We start from the raw sequence: 19,318 nt of genomic DNA, 5'->3' as shown, positions 1-19,318 counted from the left end.
ACATTTGCTTTTAATGTCATTAGGCTATCAACTCAATAGACATCCTCACCCCCTTTTCTTCAAAGTTGCTGATGTTCTCAAAGACACAAATGATTTATTTGTTACCAACTGACCTTTTTTCTTCAGTAATGAATCAAGCTCTTAGCAGTAAAGAAATGGGCATGATTAAGTGTGATAAGTAAACACAACATAATGTGCCCCCAATTCTATCAATCATTCATTACTCAAACCTTTACTGGGGCTTCCCAGAGGAGAAAATCCTGGAACTAGACTGCTAGGGTCAAATTCCATCTCTGCCACTTTCTAGCTTGGAGAAGTGCTATTAGCCAGCTATGCCGGTTTCCTTATCTGTGAAAACTCTGGATAATAACAGCACCAATCTTGTGGTATGGACATGCGAAGTCTTGGTGTCATTTTCAAGGTGATTGTCTACTGGTTTGGAAATCTGTGACTCTACCTAGATTACTCAGAATTGGCAAGTGTATGCTACATAAGCAGATAAGCCCTGACATCTCAGGGATGTGAAATTGAAATGAGAGTTAACTTCTTGCCCCGATGTGGGTCAGGCGATTGTCACTAGGAGCCTCAGAGGTAACTTCAGGGGCCCGACCTATCTCTATTTTGAAATTTGCTGTTTTATTTTGTTGCTGTTGTTGTATATTTCTTTTTTCGTTCTCATTTGCAGAGATAGAAGAGAGGGTGTGTGTGTGTGTGTGTGTCTCATGCCCACTATTTCCTCACACAAACATGTCTGCTCATTTGACCACTGACTATTGGGGAGTCATGCAGTTCCCATCTGGCTGCAAGGAGGGCTGGCAAATGCAGGTGGTTGTTCAGCTGAATTAGAGTATCTGCCATTACTGAGAACATGCCAGAGGTTAGACCTTTTTCATATAACGATTAATTCTCATGTAAAGCAGCAGAGGAGGAAGCTGAAGTTCAGGGAGATTTTATATCATGCACAAGGTCAAACAGGTAGAGAGGCTAAAGTTGGGGTCCCACTGGGTCCCTTTGATTCTACTGCCCATGTGCTTTCTTTAATTTAATTAATTAGGCATGAGCAACTCCATATCCCCATTGCACTGAAGGAGGTAAACCACTGCCAAGTTCTGCTCATGTGTGATTCTCAAAAGTAGGCATCCCTCAAGAGTGGGCAAGGCAGGTGCCCACCAAAATGCAGACAGAGTTATGGTGCTGCTGTCTGAAATATGGGAAATCTTGTGCACAGCCAGAATATGTTAAGATGTTCATTTATATTGAACTTTGTCTTAAAAAGGAAAATGATTTAGTTTCACGGATGTTTAACATAAACATTGACAGCAGCACCATAACTCTGTCTGCATTTTGGCGGGCACCTGCCTTGCCCACTCTTGAGGGATGCCTACTTTTGAGAATCACACATGAGCAGAACTTGGCAGTGGTTTACCTCCTTCAGTGCAATGGGGATATGGAGTTAGTCATGCCTAATTAATTAAATTAAATATCATAAAAATGCTGTAATTAAGCTAATCCCTGCAAAGTGGACAAATGTTTTAAAAAGACCCCTGCAAACAAATGAAATAAAACACACACACACACACACACACACACACACACACACACACACACACAGATTTAAAAAGAATGCAGGCTGGGCGCGGTGGCTCACGCCTGTAATCCCAGCACTTTGGGAGGCCGAGGCGGGCGGATCACGAGGTCAGGAGATCGAGACCATCCTGGCTAAAGCGGTGAAACCCCGTCTCTACTAAAAATACAAAAAAATTAGCCGGGCGTGGTGGTGGGCGCCTGTAGTCCCAGCTACTTGGGAGGCTGAGGCAGGAGAATGGCGTGAACCCGGGAGGCGGAGCTTGCAGTGAGCCGAGATCCCGCCACTGCACTCCAGCCTGGGCGACAGAGCGAGACTCCGTCTCAAAAAAAAAAAAAAAAAAAAAAAAAAAAAAAAGAATGCACAATGCACATGGGCCGGGTGCAGTGGCTCACGCCTGTAATCCCAGCACTTTGGGAGGCCCAGGCGGGCGGATCACGAGGTCAGGAGTTCAAGACCAGCCTGGCCAACATGGTGAAATGCTGTCTTTACTAAAAATGCAAAAATTAGCCAGGAATGGTGGCAGGCACCTGTAATCCCAGCTACTTGGGAAGCTGAAGTAAGAGAATCGCTTGAACCCAGAAGGCGGAGGTTGCAGTGAGCCGAGATCGTGCCATTGCACTCCAGCCTGGCTGACAAGAGCAAGACTGTCTAAAAAAAAAAACAAAAAAAGAAAAAAAGAATGTACATGTAATGGAAACACAAGTGAACAGAAAGAAAAAGTCAAGCAAACACATCTGCCAGGAAAGCCTTTGCCAGCCCAAACTACAATTGAAAACAGTGTTGATTCAATTATATCTACGAATATTGGCCCCTTTTCTGGTTGCGGGGAGGTCTTGCTGTATCACCCAGGCTGAAGTGCGGTGGTTCTATCACAGCTCATTGCAGTCTCAAGCTCCTGTGCTCAAGAGATCCTCTCTCCTAAGACTTCCAAGTCGTTGGTACTATAGGTAGCCACCATCATACCTAGCTAATTTGTTTTTGTTTTTGTTTTTTGTAGAAACTAGGGTCTTGCTATATTGCCCAGGCTGGTCTCAAACTCCTAACTTCAAGTGATCCTCGCTTCTCAGCCTCTTAAATTGCTTAGATAACAGGTGTGACCCATGGCACCCAGCTGATACTGGCCTATTTGAAAATATCAGTAAATTTATTTAAGTTGGTTTTATATTCATTATCTTTTACAGTAAATGATAATGCCCTTAATCTATTTTTCAGATTAGTGGTTCTCAATTTTGCTCCCCAGAGACATTGCCAATGTCTAGATACCATTTTGTTCATTGCAATTTAGGGTGAGGGAAGGTGCTACTGTTGGGCAGAGGTCAGGGAGTTTTTCAACATCCTGCAATGCATGGGGAAGCCCCCTCTGGAAGAGAATCACTGGGTCTCAACTGTCAGTAATGCTGAGGTTGAGAAACACTGTGTTAGATAATGATAGTAAGACACCTGTATAACTTATAAATGTAAACCACACAGGAAATGGAAGCCAAGCTCGAACAGAGGATGTAGGTGGTGATGCTTAGTGGGAGTAAACAGGGACTGGCTGTTCAAATCCTGGCTTGGTAAATTTTGTCAAGTTCCACACCTTCACCTGTGTTTCCTCATAACAGGCTTGTTGACCCTATGAAAGATGAAATGAGTTCCACACAAACTGTTTAGAATAGTGTCTGGTTCCTGGTAAGAACACTGCTGCCTGAGAGTTTGGCTGTAGTCACTGTTATATGTGCCCCCAAATAAAGCACTGATGGAAAGAAGTGATAAACATGGGGATACCTCTGGGCTGAACTGCTGACGAAGTATTTTCATTGAAGACCTGCCCCGAAGCATAACGAAGTCAGCCTTCTCTTAATTTCCCTTCTCACCCTCCTGTGCCAATCAAGCTGGTTCTTAGGTGAACCAATCCCTCATTTCATCAGTTAATAAAATTAAACGCAATAATCGAATGGCTGTCATAACTACATTGATGTTTAAAACAAACTTTTGATTTTTGGTTGGCTGCCACAAGTCAAATACATGATGTATTAGGCCATTTCACATTGCTGATAAAGACATATGCAAGACTGGGTAATTTATAAAGAAAAAGGTTTAATGGACTCACAGTTCCACATAGCTGGGGAGGCCTCACATTCATGGTGGAAGATGAAAGGCATGTCTTACATGGCAGCAGGCCAGAGAGAATGAGACTCAAGTGAAAGGGGTAACCCCTTATAAATCCGTTAGATCTCGTGAGACTTATTCACTATCATGAGAACGATATGGGGGAAAACCACCCCCATGATTTAATTATCTCCCACTGGGTCTCTCCCACAACATGTGGGAATTATAGGAGCTACAATTCAAGATAAGATTTGGGGACATAGCCAAACCATCTCACATGAGAAGAAAATCAACCTCAAATCTATTCAAATACTTTTTTTTTTTTTTTTTTTTTTGAGACAGAGTATCACCTTGTTGTCCAGGCTGGAGTGCAATGGTGCAATCTCTGCTCACTGCAACCTCCACCTCCTGGGTTCAAGTGATTCTCCTGCCTCAGCCCCCCGAGAAGCTGGGATTATAGGCGTGCACTGCCATGCCCAGATATATATATATTTTTTTTTTGCATTTTTAGTTGAGACAGGGTTTCACCATGTTGGCCAGGCTGGTCCCGAACTCCTGACCTCAGATGATCCACCCACCTCAGCCTTCCAAAGTGTTGGGATTACAGGCGTGAGACACCACGCCCGGCCTCAAATAACACTTTTGACATGTACTGAGAACATCCTCTGTATATTCCAAACACTGTGCTATAGTTTGAGTAAAGAAAGATAAAAAGACACAGGCCCCTTTTAAAATAACTTAATTCAAAAACTTCTCTGTCTAGTGTGGGAAATCTATTTTTATATTAAATAATTATATTACAGGCTCTGACTACGTGTGAGGTTCAGAGGCAGCTCCATGGAAGAAGGGATTAACTCTAAGGTAGGTCTGAGAAGCTTTCAGGAAGGAAGTAATAAGGAGACAGAGGTTTGAAGGATGAGTAAGAATTCATGGATGTTCTAGACATCGTGAGGCTTTCTGTGAAGTACAAACACTTGCGTGTTGCTGGACCAAATAGAGCAGGAGTCAGACCTTAGCTACCCATGAAGGCCAGACTCTGGGGCATGGAACTTATTCTGGAAGTCCAGAGTCACTCCTGAAGGATCTTAAGAGGAAGAGGATGGGATCAAAGTTGCATTTGTAAAAGGTCCACAGGAGGTATACAGAAGAGTATGAAAGGGGACAACACAAGATTTGGAGAGATCAGATAAGAAATTATTTCAGATAAGAAGCAGGATGGTCCTGGGTCAAGGTGTGGCTAGATAAGAAAGTATAACTAATAAACATGGCACCCAGACACCTCTTCTATTTCTTCAACTAATCTCAGTATTGAAAAAGATCATAATAACAGCTCACGCCTATATAGCCCTTCCTTGGTCTGAGGCAGGGTTCTAAGTTTCAATCCATTTGCATCCACATGTGTTCATTCATTTAATCTTCACAAAAAAGCTCTGAGGTCCATTTTATTATTATCCTTGTTTTAGAGAAATGGGAACCGAGATGCAATTAGGTCACACTGCATCTTTAAGGACAACAGGAAGACAGCAGCGAAGCCAGGGTTCCAGGCCTGGCAAATTGTTTCCTCTGTGTCCTTCTATTAGCGGGAAGTGAAGTTGCTCCCTCTTGGCGTCTGTTCTTCCTGAATTGTCCTCAATCTGCCGGGGTTTGCACACAGTCCAGTCCCCAGGGAAGCTGCTCGGACTTTCTCTCCGATATGTAGAGCTGTGGAGTCCGATTAGCATTTTAGGACAGTTGCTTCTTGCTGCCACAGGATGTCACCATTGAAAACCTGCCTTCTGCAGGAAGAAATGCTGGCCCACTTGGCTGTGATCCCTTGCTCACCCTGAAGGGGCTCAAGCCCCTGTGGTCCCTATGACGGAGGACAACCTCACACCACATCCTTGAAACCCACTCAGCCAAAGCATCTCAGGGGAGCTCCCCAGACTGTACCTCTCAGCACTCAATTCTTTCAAGTGGGCTCACCTTCCACCTGCAGCAGAACCAGGGCCTGGATTTGGCTTGTATCCATCTCAGAACCAGTGTCCATCTGTCCTATCTGTAACTGCTCATGCCAAAACACCATTTCTCTTGAAAGACACGTCATCACTCATGACCCCTTTTTGAAGAAGATTTTTAAAAATCTCTCAGGGATCCCCTGTCATAGATGACTCTGAGAGCTATTTACATGGTGGAATTGGCAGACGTTGGCAATTAATTCGGTTGAGGGAGATGAGAAGAGTCGAGAGAACGGGAGAGAGGGAGAGGTTAGGAAGCCTAGGATGATGGTAGGTTTCTGGCTTCTGTGATTTGATGGGCAGTGGGACATTTTCTTGGTGGGAGATAACAGTGGAGGGCTATTGCTGCTTTTGAGTCAGTTCCACCAAGGCCCAACCTGGGCAGTGGCAGAGGCTTTCCCTTCCAGACCTCCCCCAGGCCCCAGCTGTTCAGGGCCTTACCTTGCACAAGGCCCATTCATTAAGAGGACAATGGGTAAGGGGATCTCGGGGCCAACAGTGCATCACTGCAGCTGATTGATTAATGTCATGCCGGGCAGTCCATGAGCACAGTTTGAAGAAGACTTTGCAGTCATAATTCATAATACTATTTTACCACATGGGGAACAAGGATTGGGGGCATCTCTGGGGACATAGGGTCTCACTGGCACACGTTGCATGTTGCCTTTGAGGTTATTTCAAGATTCACTGAGATTCTAGTCATGGATTATATATACAGATTATGTGTATATGTATATATACACACACACATACACACACATATACACACATACGTATGTGTGTGTTTATATATATGCACATACACACTTACATATATGTGCAATTTCTTTTTGGCTTAAACATCAAAATGTTTTATAAAAGTGTATGTTGAGGTCAAGTGCAGTGGCTCCCACCTATAATCCCAGCAAGGCTGAGGCAGGAGGATCATTTGAGCCCAGGAGTTTGAGACTAGCCTGGGCAACATAGCCAGACCCCATCTCTACAAAAAATAAAAACCTTACCCAGGCATGGTGGTAGGTCTACAAAAGATAAAAAACTTTACCCAGGCATGGTGGTAGGTCTATAAAAAATAAAAACATTACCCAGGCATGGTAGTCCTACCTACTTGGAGGGGCTGAGGTGGGAAGATTGCTTGTGCCCAGGAGTTAAAGGCTGCAGTGAGTTAAGATTGTGCCACTGCACTCTAGCCTGGGTAACAAAGTAAGACCCTGTCTCAAGAAACAAAAAAATAGTGTATGTCAAAATTCTCACTCTCACTCTAACCTCGTCAACCTAGTTCTTCCACCCATCTTCACCCTCATAGCTAATAGCTACTTCTCCAAGTTTCTTACATAGCCTTCTAGCGTATTTTTATGCCAATGCAAGCAATACAAATATGTGTATCTGTCTCCTTGTTTCACAACAGTTGTCTTATTTTAATATTATCTTATTTTATCTATTCTGCACTTTGCTTTTTCACTTAATAAATCATGGAGCTGTTTTATCCAGACAATACATCCAATACAAGTAAATCCTATGCTCCTGGCATATCTCTACTGCTGGGGACTAGAAAATGCAGAGGAAAATAATGAGTGCTTGCACTGACTTTCAAAAATAAGGTTGCATAAAAATGCAATGTCAATAGCAAAATAAATGCCATATGGTTATGAACACATTTAAGAGACAAATATTGTAAAAGAAAAGCACCCATTTTCTCTATTGAGAAATTCATATTTATTTGCCATTCACCAAACATTTACTGAGGGTATGCATTGCCCTGGGCTTGCTGGGTGCTGTGGGGAGGACAAGCAGGGTAGATAGCTCAGAGCCTCCATCTGCCCAGGCCCACTATGTCAACAGCCTCCTTAGGACACCTCTTTCTGCAGCCTTAATCCCCACCCTAGCCAGCACCACACACACTTCAACTAAGGTGATCTTCCCTTCATTCCCACCCAGCCTTTCTCCTGCTTAAACTGCTTCACTGCCCTCCTCCCCACCACCTTCCCCATTCCCTTCCCATCCTAAGGGTCACATTGTCAAATTCCAACCCCTTCACTTGGATCGCAAGGCCTTTGGTGTGCAGTGCCTGCCCTGTAAACCTCACCACTCGCCTGCCTCACCTCTCCTTGCCTGCTGCTGCTAGGTTCCTGCTGTTCTGTCCTGCCTCCAGGCCTCTGTACCCTGCTCCTCTTGTCCTGGAAAGAGCAGTCTTCTCTACCCTTCACCGCCCCACTCATTTGTTCTTATACCTTTTTTTCAGGTATCTTTCCCCAATTACTTGCCCCTGCCCCCAGCCTGACAGGGTTAGAGACTCCTCCTGCCAACTGCAATTGCCTGGTTCCATTCCCTGCTTCCTCCTGGGGTGTGAGTTAGTGCAGCCCAGTCTAATGGGGGACATAGTCATCCTCTAATGCCTGGTTCCATTCCCTGCCTCCTCCTGGGTGGAGTTAGTGCAGCCGAGTCTAGTGGACGGGTCACTGGGCTTCCGAGTCCCAGTCTTGGCTCCTTCTCTAAGGCTGTTTTGTCATCTGTCACAGGCATGCCACGAGAACTTGCCAGCACAGTGGTGGTGATAATTAGAGTTCCCAATGCCCCTTAAGAATGCTCAGTAGACGGGAGCTGGCTTAACCCTCCCCAATCTTCCTCTCCCTCCTCCGTGGACAGAATCTCACACGTCTGTGAACCCCCACGTTCAGCATGAAGTGAGGAGCCCATCGGATGACGGGCCGGCTGGCTGGTTGAAGGCCACTGCTGACTTCGCATTGGAGGTATGGGTTGCTCAGCGCTTTTACCCTTTCTCAGGCATCTACTTGTTGCCTGGGCTTCTCTTCCAAGTTCAACAGTCCCCTCCCAGCCAGTTCTCCGCCGCGCCCCGCCCCCGGATATCTGCAGGGACCCTTTTCCTGCCCGAGGCCTGGGGTCTTGGCTCGAGAGGGGAGCCCCGCCGCGGGGACTGAGCATGCTCGCGCCGGTCAGTCTGGGAGGGCCGCACGCGGGGCCGCAGCCTGCGCCCTGGGCACCCGGGCGGCCGAGCGGGCGGGGTTTGGCCGCCGGGCGGCCCGCCCCGGGCTCCCATCAGGGCCTCGCGGCGGAGAGGGACCGAGGTGGGAGCGCGTGAGCCGCGCCGCCAGCCAGTCGCGCAGCGTCTACCCACGCGGTGCGCAGCGGCTGCGGAGCGGAGCCAGCGGGAGCAGCAGGGCGGGCTCTCCCGGCCGCGAGGGCGCGCGGCGCGGCGCGGAGGGTCTGGCCGCGTCCCGGCGGAGGAAGGAGAGGAGTGAGGGCGCCAGAGGTGAGCGCAGCCCGGGAGGCGCCAGCCCAGCGGCGCGGGCGCAGCCGGTCGGTCCTTGCTTTCTTGCGGCGCTGGCGGCTGCGTTCCCCCGACCGCGCTGACAGCCTCGCGTCCTGGCGCCTGCTCGCTGGGGCTGCCCGGAGGCCGCGGCCGGGCAGCTGTTGCACGGAGAGGGGGGCAGTTGCGGGGTTCCATAACCATAGCAACCGCATCAGCACCGGCGGCGGCGGGCGAGGGCAGCATCCGCTCGCTCCTCCTCCAGGCAGCCTCGCCGCGGGGACCCAACACCAGCTCGCAGGTGCTGCGGACTCCCCAGTCCGCCCGCCGCCGCCGCCGCCGCAACTGTTGGCGGCCAGAGACGGCGAAAGAGGAGAGAGAGGGACCCAGGAGCGCGGCCCCCGGGGGAGAGAGAGGGGAGCCCTGCAGTGGAGACAGGTAGGTGAGAGCGCTTCGGGGTCGGCAGCTGCAAAACTCTCTCGTCGGTGGTAGTGACGCTTCTGCAAGCGTGGTTGCCAGTTGGATGGCTTTCTGTCACGGAACAGCGATTCCGCCGCAAAATGTGGTTTATCTCCCTCGATTTTCCCCAGTCTCTCTGCCCTCCAGGTTTGCTGCACATCTGGACAGGTCTTGAGGGGATAAGAAGGGCCAGGGCTGTGAAAGGAGCGGAGAGGCTGGGTTAATGAGGGGTTCCCCCCAGGAGTCCCAGATGGAGGCTGAGGGGGCGCATGCAGACCTTGGCCATTGGGGTCCTTGGAGCCAGGGAACCCGGGGGCCAGGCTCAGGAGAAGACCGCACTGGGGTGGAGGGGACAGTGGCAGCGATTCCCTGTGATCCAGGCGAATGCACAGACCCGTTCTTCCTGTGGCTTGGCTGGGGACAGGGGTGTGCGGGGACACTGCAGCTCAGCTGTGACATGGAAAGGGACCAGCTCTTGATCTGTAGAGCCAGCTTCAAGCCCAGTCACTGGAGGGGATGTTTAGACGAGGCAAGTAGTAACTGTTATTATTTTGGGACACAGGAGTATCATGTTATTGCCGTTGACTATTAGGGATAGGATGGGAATAGAAATAAAATTTTGAGCTAGCAGTCAAGACTATGCCCTCCCCTTCTCCCCACCTCATTTCTAGCTCCCCACCCCACTTTGCCAGCAAAACAAGAATCACATCGCTCATAGTGACAATCCTTGCTCCTTGGCCACTGGCAAACTATCTCGCTTTCAGACAGCTGGAGACACCGCTTCAGTTGTCCATTTGAACCAGGGGGCATTGTTTTCCATCAGGTTATGATGCTCTTGATGTTAAGTGATGTGTCAAAGCCGAGAGGCACCTGGGCTGTCCATACAGTGTGATGGACTGTTAACTACATCTGCAGGCTGGAGAGAGGGCCAGAGCTTGGGGAGTGATTACAAACTCAGATCAGCTGGGACCAGGGCCCCGGAAGAAGGAAGATAGCATGTGAATAATTAGGGTCTGAAAGTTCGTGCATGTAGGTAAGTAGGCCTCTGAATAATATCCAGGATAGGCAGCCATTGACTTTGAAAGGGCTCTTCCTTTATATCGTGGCCTCGGGGGACAGTCTAAGTCCCAGTTAAAAGGCTATGTTCTTTAATTGGGCTTTTAATTTATGGTGTGGTTATGTTACCCAAGGGGATGTGATTTGGCCAACCTCTCATCTGGAGATTTATGTCATAATATGGATGATGTTATCAGAGCTTAGACAGATGGTTAGGTGTAGAGGAAAGTGGACCAGATTGGAGGGTCAGAAAACATGGATTTGAACTCTGATTTCCTCATGCACCTGCTGTGTGACCTTGAGTTGTTCCACCTCACTGAGGCTTCTTTCTCTCATCTGGAGAATGGGGATACTAACTAACAAGTCTTGCAGTTTACCAGGCTCAATCACAATCCAATGGGATGTGGAGAGGATGTTTGGGAAGGGCTTTTTAAAACCTGATGTCTTGTGCAAGTAAAAGGGATTATTGTTTTCTAAAGAATCTCTCTTCCTCAGATTGGCAAATCATTAAACATCCATCAACTACGAAAAGAGAGTGGAAATATTAGTCAGTGACTCACAGTGGAAACACTGTAGTCTGGTCCAAGATTCACTCAGGGCAACATAAAGAGGGCTTCTCAGGGGAAAATGCTGCATGCCATCCACCTTGCCTACAAGTGCTGAAGGTCAAGTGCTTTGCCATCAAATGCAGCACTCGTCTAGTTTGAAACAGTGAGGCCTGCTCACAATGGGTGGATTAAGTTTTTTTTTTTTTTTTACAGTATAAACAGAGATTTAGACAGAGTAGGGACTCATTTAACTGTTCACCTCGGGTTGTGGGTTTCTCGTGGGCAGGATTACTTTCATCCAACTCTGCTCTGTAATGTCAGGTGTTTACCAAATATTTGCTCAATTTGACTGAAATAGACTGAATGCTGACAGGTTGATTTTATTGCTGAAGGAATTATAATTTCTGGAAGGAACCAAGACTGTCTTATACTATTCTCTGCTCTTTTATGCCCCTGATTTTGCTCATGGTGGTGTCCCTGCCTAGAATAACAATTTCTCACTTCTTTCTTCCTTTAACAACCCAACTCAAATGCCCCTTCCTATAGGAAGCTTTCCCATATTCTCTCATGTGCTCCCACAACACTCTGGACCTCCTTTGTGATGGACTGTGCTGTGTCATCGCTTGCACACATACCTGTCCTTTCTGTTGATTTGATGCTTCCCAATGATAGGTGCCTCTCCCTATCTGACTTTGGTTGTGGCTGCAGCACCTGGTGCAGCCATGGCCATGATGAATGGTTGTTGAATGAGTGAATGAGCCTTACTTCTAACATGACCACCTGTGCAGACGTAGGCTGCAGAAAGGCCATTCCTGGCTGCTTTTGCCATCTCGGTCTGTGTGGCAAGCCTGGAGGATGCTCCATGGCTTGTTGTGCATTATTTAGGGTCAACCCACTGAGGCAAAGTGAAGGAGAACAGAAGCACATATTTTGCTTTAAAATGCTCATTTTTTTTCAAGTGGGCACTTTAGGATAACTGAAATCTGGTGTTGAATGGCCTTCATGTAACATTTGCTGAAAACATCTGATGGAATATTTTAAACTTGAAATATCTTTTTCTCGCTTCAATTTCTTTCCTTGATTTCAGCTCCAGTATAGTAAAAAAGCACAAGCATTGGATTAAGATAGCCTAGATTTAATCTCAGTTTTCAGGGTACCTGGAACTAGTGCACTTGATTGTCTTGTGCCTCAGTTTCCTCATTCATAAAGTGTGGATGTGAATACCCATCTCACAGGGATGTCGAGTTTTGGAGCGAATTAATAGCTGTGCCATAAAAGTAGTTCATTAACTGTAAAATATTAATACTCTAAGTAAATTTGTTCTTTTCCTTAATTTTCGTCCTAGAAAATGAGCAAAATCCTTGTCTAATTTCACAGCATCACATGGGCTTCAAATGCTGGCTCCTTCACTTACTAGCTCTGTGTGACCTTCAGTAAATCATTTTGCTCCCCCAGCCATCTGCCTTATCTGCATAGCATTGTAATGATAGCCACCTTTCAAGATAGATAGGCAAATGCACAGAAAGAAAAATGCCATGCCAGGCACTCAATACGTAATATCTGTAATTTGCAAATGATAGATGTAATTGCCAATAATAGAGGGTTCCAGAATTTTTTGAAATGCCCCAAATGAGTCTCCTCCCTGTATTTCACCTACAGTTCTACAAGAGAAGAAGAACTAAGAAGATGGTCATGGTCCCAACCACCAAGAACCTCCTTTGGTTACACATGGGAGACACCAGGAGGGAGCAGAATGACCTAAAGATTTAGATTCAGATTCAAGTCTGATCTTACCTGAGAGAGCTGGCAGAGATTCACGGACATCGCTAATATCTGCTGAGCTATCCAGACACTGGGTGCTCAGAAACGTCAAATGTTTCTGCTCAAACATGAATAATTTCTAGGTGGCTGCACACCCATCTCAGGAGTGACTCGTGAGGGAGATTTTAGCATCACAAAGGAAAGTGGCACTGTGAGCCTGGGATCTGTGGCCCTCCCTCCACCTCCGGTGTGGATGGAGTGGTGCTGTGATGTGCCTGGTACAGGGCATTTGCATAAGTAGCCTGCCCTGCGTCACTCATCATGCCAGACTCTGAGAATCAACTGTAGACAACACAAGGTCCTTGCCTTTCAAGAGCTTAATATGTAGTTGGGGGATCAGGCATGGAAATCGGCAAGAACAAACCAGGCAATGCCGGGGGTCTGCGGGAACAAAGAGGAGCCTCCGACATATTTCCTAGGTGGTGGCTGTCAAGGATGCCTTCTTAAAGGAGAGAGAGTCTAAGCTGAGTCTGAAGGAATCTCCACATGCAGACCTGAGGGAAGGGCAATCAGAAAGGGAGAGCAACATGCAGAGACTTGGAGACAAGAAGTAGCAAGGAAGAGAAAGGAACCGCAGGGCTGGAACAAGAGGCCAAGGGGTGAGGTGGTGTCCGTTGAGGCTTGGGAGATGGTAGGGTTACACGTTTGAGAGTTTTGCAAGCCAGTCTTTTCCTCTAACAGAAGGCCATAGGAAGTCACAGAAAGGTCTAGACCTGGGCAGGATGCTCTCCCCAGCTGTGATAGAGGCCAGGTTAGCGAGATCCAACAAAGATTTTATGGCCTCTTAGGAGGCTCTGCAGAGATGCTTGACTTCAGGTAATGAGAGGTGGGAAAAAGAGAAGGACAGAGAAGAAATAGTGTGAGAAGGAATAGTAGAGAGGAACAGAAGGAAGGTATCAGAGAAATGAACAGATTGCTTCCTATCTCACAAAAATATCAGTGAGACATTCTAGGGACCTTTGACCATTGATAGGTCAAGAGGAAGGAGGGGTCATGGTTGATACTCAGGCTTTCTTTCCATCCTCCCACCGTGAGAGAAGAAGGCAAGGACTAATAAACCAGGCTCTGAATTGATGTCCCTGCCTCTATTCTGCTTCCCAGTGTCTACTGTGCACAAGGCAGCCAGAGAGATCTTTATAAAACTAAAATCAGATTAAACTCTTTGCTCAAAGCCCTTTTGTGGTTTTCTAACTCAGAGTAAAATCTGAAGCATTTCCCATGACCTGCAACCTACACGACATTCAGCCCCTGTTCCAACCCGGCTCACCACCTTGTGACCTGGTCTCCTCCACAGCCACTCACCTCTACCCACCCTGGCCTCCTGGCTGATCTTCAGCAGCACATGCTACTCCCTCCTCCTGGGACATTCTTCTCCCTGGTAATCACTGGGTGTCCCTACTTTATTCTGGCTGCAACTCAAATGTCACCTTAGCATATCATTAGCCCACCCTTACCACCTACTTCTACAATGACAGTCTCTTATTTTGATGTTTCTTTCTTTATAGTACTTATCAATATATTACGTAGTTCACTGTTGAACTCCCACTGGTAGAACAAATCCTCTCATATAATATGCACTCAGTAAATGTTTGCTGAATGAATGAATGAATGAATGAATGAGTGAACGTAGGATTGCCTCCGTGCCAGAGTAGATGCTGGTCCCAGCATTGACTGGGAATTAGAAAATGAGGAAACGATTGAGGGAGAAACAATGACATGTTCCAAATTGTGGGTTAGAATTAAGTGACTATTTCCTACATAGCTGCAATATTCCAGGCATTACTAGGCAATTGGATAGCAAGACTACCAAGATCAAATTTCTTATGAAACATTTCTTGGGACACGGAAAACTATAGATTTATTGTTAGAGGGGTCTCCAGCTAGACACTGGAGGGTGTGGGCCTGGTTGAGTTCTGCTGTTCACTTTCTTTGTCACTTTAGACATATTCTTTCCACCCCATTCTTTAAAGTCTTGCCCTATGTTTTAATTGATGATATAGCTTTTGTTGTTGGGCTTTGTGATATAGGAAATATTTTTCTTTTCTTGTCTTTCTTTCTTTCTTTCTTTTTTTTTTTTTTTTTGAGAGAGAGTTTCGCTCTTGTTGCCTAGGCTGGGAGTGCAATGGCACGATCTCGGCTCACTGCAACCTCCACTTCCTGGGTTGAAGCGATTCTCCTGCCTCAGCCTCCCAAGTATCCGGGATTACAGGCATGTGCCACCATGCCCAGCTAATTTTGATTTTTAGTAGAGACAGAGTTTCACCACGTTGGTCAGGCTGGTCTCGAACTCTTGACCTCAAGTGATCCACCCGCCTCGGCCCCCCAAATTTCTGGGATTACAGGCATGATCCACCGCGCCTGGCCTATTTTTCTTTCTCTTCTAGAGTTTTTTCTTTAATTTCATTATATTTAGCAGACGTTGAAGTGACGTCATATTCTCTAAGTCATATTCTCAGTTACTTAGAATAACTGCAACTTACAGTCTTTAGTTTTCAGTTATTATGGGGAAGATGGGCAAGGAGAGTGAAGAGAAGAGGTGAGTGTCATCCCAGGTAGCTGGAGGGAGGTAGTGGTGGGATGAACTCTTTGCATATGGATAATCTAGAGGCAGAGTGGTGTAGGCTTCCTTTGTGGGAGTGTCTTCCTGGTGCAGCTGTTTCGACAGGAAGTTCCTGTGGTGGAAGTTCTCTTGCTAGGATGGCAGATAAGGCCCTTATCCACCCGTCTGTCTGTCTGAGCATGGCTCACTCTGTTCTCCCAACCAGGCATGCCCTCTTCCATGTCTCCAGGGCTAGGCTCACTTTCCTGATGGGCCCTGCAGGTCCCTGTGTTCCTCTCCAACACTCAGTGCAACCCTGTGGCTTGACCTTCGCAGTCTGTAGCTTTCTTGTCTAGATCTTGAGTCCCTCCTAGACTCTGTACTTATGAGATTAAGAACTAGGTTTTATCTTTTATGTGGAGTCTGGTATCTGAAAGAAAATTGGATCAAAACTTGAATACAGGTACTCTAGGGTTAACTCTGATATGAATTAGCTGTGTTCTTTAAGCAGGAACTTAACCTCCCTGGACTTCTTTTCCCAATTGTGAAATGAAGGCAGTCAACAAAAATTTTATTTCCAAAGTGCCTATTATGCCCCATCCTCTGTTATAGAAGCTTGAAGGGGGCCAAGATAAAGAAGATAATGTTTATATGCTTAAGAAGTTTATAACTTCTAAAAAAGACAAACAAGTAGAGAAGCAGTTATAATATACAGTGGCAAAGCTATGATAGAGATAAGACCTGAGAGCAGAGAAGGACACCTAACCCCACTTGGGAATGCCACGAGGGGCTTCCTGGAGGAAGAGGTATCGAATATGAGACATGAATGGAAAGTAGGAGTTACATAGATAAACGTGGGATAAGGAGTCGGGGGAGCTGTTTCACATGGAAGAAAGCCAGGGTGGAGAGCAGGGGTTGAGAGAGTATTGCAGGCAGTAGGATGTGTGGGCTCAGAGAGAGTGTGGGTGAAGAACTTGAGACAGGGGTGGGAAGCTAAAAGGCTGGAGAGGTGAGTAGAGGCTGGGTGTGCAGGCCCTTGGACACTTTGTGAATGGATTTATTCTTTATCTGGAAGCTAATGGGAGGGGTGGAAAGATCTTAAACTGGGAGATGACAGATACAAACATGCATTTTGGAATGGTCCATTCTGGTTGCAATATAAAGAATGCATTGGAGAAAAGTAAATTATACAGGAGGCATGGAGACTGGGTGGGAGTCTATTTCAGGAAATTTAGGGTACCTAGACATAAAGATGGCCCAAACCTAGGTTAAGGTAATAGAGACGGAGACAGGAGGACCAACTTGAGAAATATTCAGTCAGTAGAATCTTGACATACAGGGTCCAAGAGTGAAGAATACCTCTGCTCCAGGATGATGCTCCATTTTCTGACCTAGTCTGATGGATTGGCTTTGCTGCTGTTCACTGGCCTGGGGACACAGGGGAAAGAACAGGTTTTCAGGAGGAAATGATGAGTTCTGTTTTGAATGCGTGGAGTTTCAGGTCTCTGATGACATCCACATACATTTTAGGCAATATCAATCAAACTCAGAAAAGAGTTTGGCGGAATACACAGACTTAGGGAATCCTCAGCACGTAGATGATAACTGAGAACCTGGGAGTAGCAGTGATTGGCTAGGAGAAGTATAGAGGTAGAGGAAGCAAAGGTGTTCCTTTAGACCCACAAGGGCTACACTACTGCTCATTCAAAAAATCAAACAAACGCCGGGCGTGATGGCTCACGCCTGTAATCCCAGTACTTTGGGAGGCTGAGGCGGGCGGATCACCAGGTCAGGACCTCGAGACCATACTGGCCAACATGGTGAAACCCCATCTCTACAAAAAATACGAAAATTAGCTGGGTGTGGTGGTGCGTGCCTGTAGTCCCAGCTACTTGGGAAGCTGAGGCAGGAAAATTGCTTGAACCTGGGAGGCGAAGGTTGCAGTGAGCCGAGATTGCACCACTGCACTCCAGCCTGGCGACAGAGTGAGACTCCCTCTCACAAACAACAAACAAAAATCAAACAAAAACACTCACACACAAAAAAACAAACAAAAACGCACACTATCTGGCTTCCTCTGGCCTTAGGGATTTTTCCTTTTGTGTCTACACTGCTGGTTGGGACAGATCATCCCCTGATGTTCCTGTGGCTCACTCCCTTTCCTCACCTAAGTCCCCTCTTTGTAGTGATGTCTCTGGACAACCTAGTTAAATAACCCTGTGTAGTCTCTAGCCACCAAGCTTGCTTTTTTTTTTTTCCTCAAAAGAATTCATTATCATATCATTATCTGAAATAGTAGAGATGCATCGGTTTATTTGTTTTCTATTATCTCCTCTGCAAGATGTGACCTCCCCGGTGCAAGGACTTTGCTGTACTCATAGCTGCACAAAACCCTTAGAATAGTTCCTGACACCCATTTAGCGTGCAATAAATGTTTGTCAAAAAATAGAAGGATACATGCAGAAATCATCAATAATAAAATAATACTTTTACGTTTAAAAAGTAATAACTGCAGCCCTATTTAAGCACCATTTACAGTTCCTGGGTCAGAAGGTGGCCTTCCAGTTCAGGGGCACCTTGTAGGCTGGTTGCTTGCTGCTGGACACCTGCCCCCTAGGGATGACCTCCCCTGTCCATCTCCTCAGATGACACTGACAGGCGTCTTTTTTTTTTGTTTTTTTTGAGAGAGAGTCTCACTCTGTCTCCAAGGCTGGAGTGCAGTGGTGCGATCTCAGCTCACTGCAACCTCTGCCTCCCGGGTTCAAGCGATTCTCCTGCCTCGGCCTCCCCAGTAGCTGGGATTCCAGGTGCCCACCACCACGCCTGGCTAATTTTTTTGTATTTTTAGTAGATAAGGGATTTCCCCTTGTTGGCGAGGCTGGTCTTGAACTCCTGACCTCAAGTGATCCTCCCACCTTGGCCTCCCAAAGTGCTGGGATTATGGACATGAGCCCCTGTGCCTGGCTGACAAGTGACAAGTGTGTTTTAAACTTCAGTTGAAACAGAAAAGAAGTACCACCCCTGCCCAGCCCCTGCCCCGCCCCCACCCCCACACACACCTAGGGCTTGGATGAGAGTAGTTTGAGGAATGCAGTGGACAGCTCCCACCCACCATGCTGCTGTGAATGCACGGGTGGGTGCTGGGCCATTTACTGGGAAACAGCTCTGCTTGAGACATTAAGCATCAGATGTAAGTACAGCACCCCACTGTTCTGCTTAATCCAGAGATAAAAGCAATGTTTTCTTAGACAATTGTTCTTAACCTTAATTAAGTCCCGGATCACTTTGAGCATCTGATAAAATCTGTAGCCACTCTTCTCAGAAAAAAAAAAAGTAGTCCCATGGGGGCTGGCGGGAAGGTATGGATCTCCTAAGTCCTCCGTGACCAGCTAAGAATGCCTTTTCTGCAAGTGGGATGGGGCTGCTTTGGAGCCTGCAGATGTCCCTGCATGGACTTCACAAAGTGATTGTATTCTCTGGTGAAAACTAAAACAGCAGGTCTTCTGAGTATTAGTGAGACAGGGTCATGTAAATGAAAATCGCAACCTTTAGAGTGAGGCAGACTTTGGTTTGAATCCAAGTTCTGATTAGAGTAATCAACTTGTACCATTTTGAGAGGGACTGTTCCAGTTTGAAAACTGGCACATGTATACATATGTAACAAACCGGCACGTTGTGCACATGTACCCTAGAACTTAAAGTATAATTAAAAAAAAAAAGAAAAGAAAACTGAAAGTCCTTCATCCCAGGAACCTTCTTGGTCCTAGACAACACAGATGAGTTGGTCACCCTATTTCTGATATTTGTTAGCCAAGGGACCCTGGGCAGTTACTAGGTCTTCGTGGAGAGGTCCTGCTTACTCCACCTTAGGTCTGGTTCCTCAGATGCAGAAACTGAAATGGAGATTCTTGTGCAAGTGATTGGCTGAGCAGGTACCTTCAGTTGAAACCTCAGAGA

General features: G+C 46.7%; 1 protein-coding gene across 4 annotated transcripts in view; it reads left to right on the top strand.

Annotated features, from left to right (window-relative positions):
• Positions 1 to 8,316: 8,316 nt before the first annotated feature.
• Positions 8,317 to 19,318, top strand: part of FAM135B (family with sequence similarity 135 member B) — a 367,708-nt gene continuing 356,706 nt past the window's right edge. For 3 of the 4 annotated variants that reach the window (NM_015912.4, XM_011517062.2, XM_011517061.3), the window contains exon 1: positions 8,786 to 9,376. The gene's annotated coding sequence lies outside the window, so the exon portion shown is untranslated. Of the gene's footprint in view, positions 8,421 to 8,785; positions 9,377 to 19,318 lie in introns of those variants that run through there. The other variant, NM_001362965.2, reaches the window with a different exon arrangement.

The sequence above is a fragment of the Homo sapiens genome, chromosome 8 (assembly GCF_000001405.40).
Source record: "Homo sapiens chromosome 8, GRCh38.p14 Primary Assembly".
NCBI classification, from domain to species: domain Eukaryota; kingdom Metazoa; phylum Chordata; class Mammalia; order Primates; family Hominidae; genus Homo; species Homo sapiens.
The sequence above is the reverse complement of the archived record's forward strand: the minus strand, read 5'-3'. Positions and strand labels throughout refer to the sequence as shown.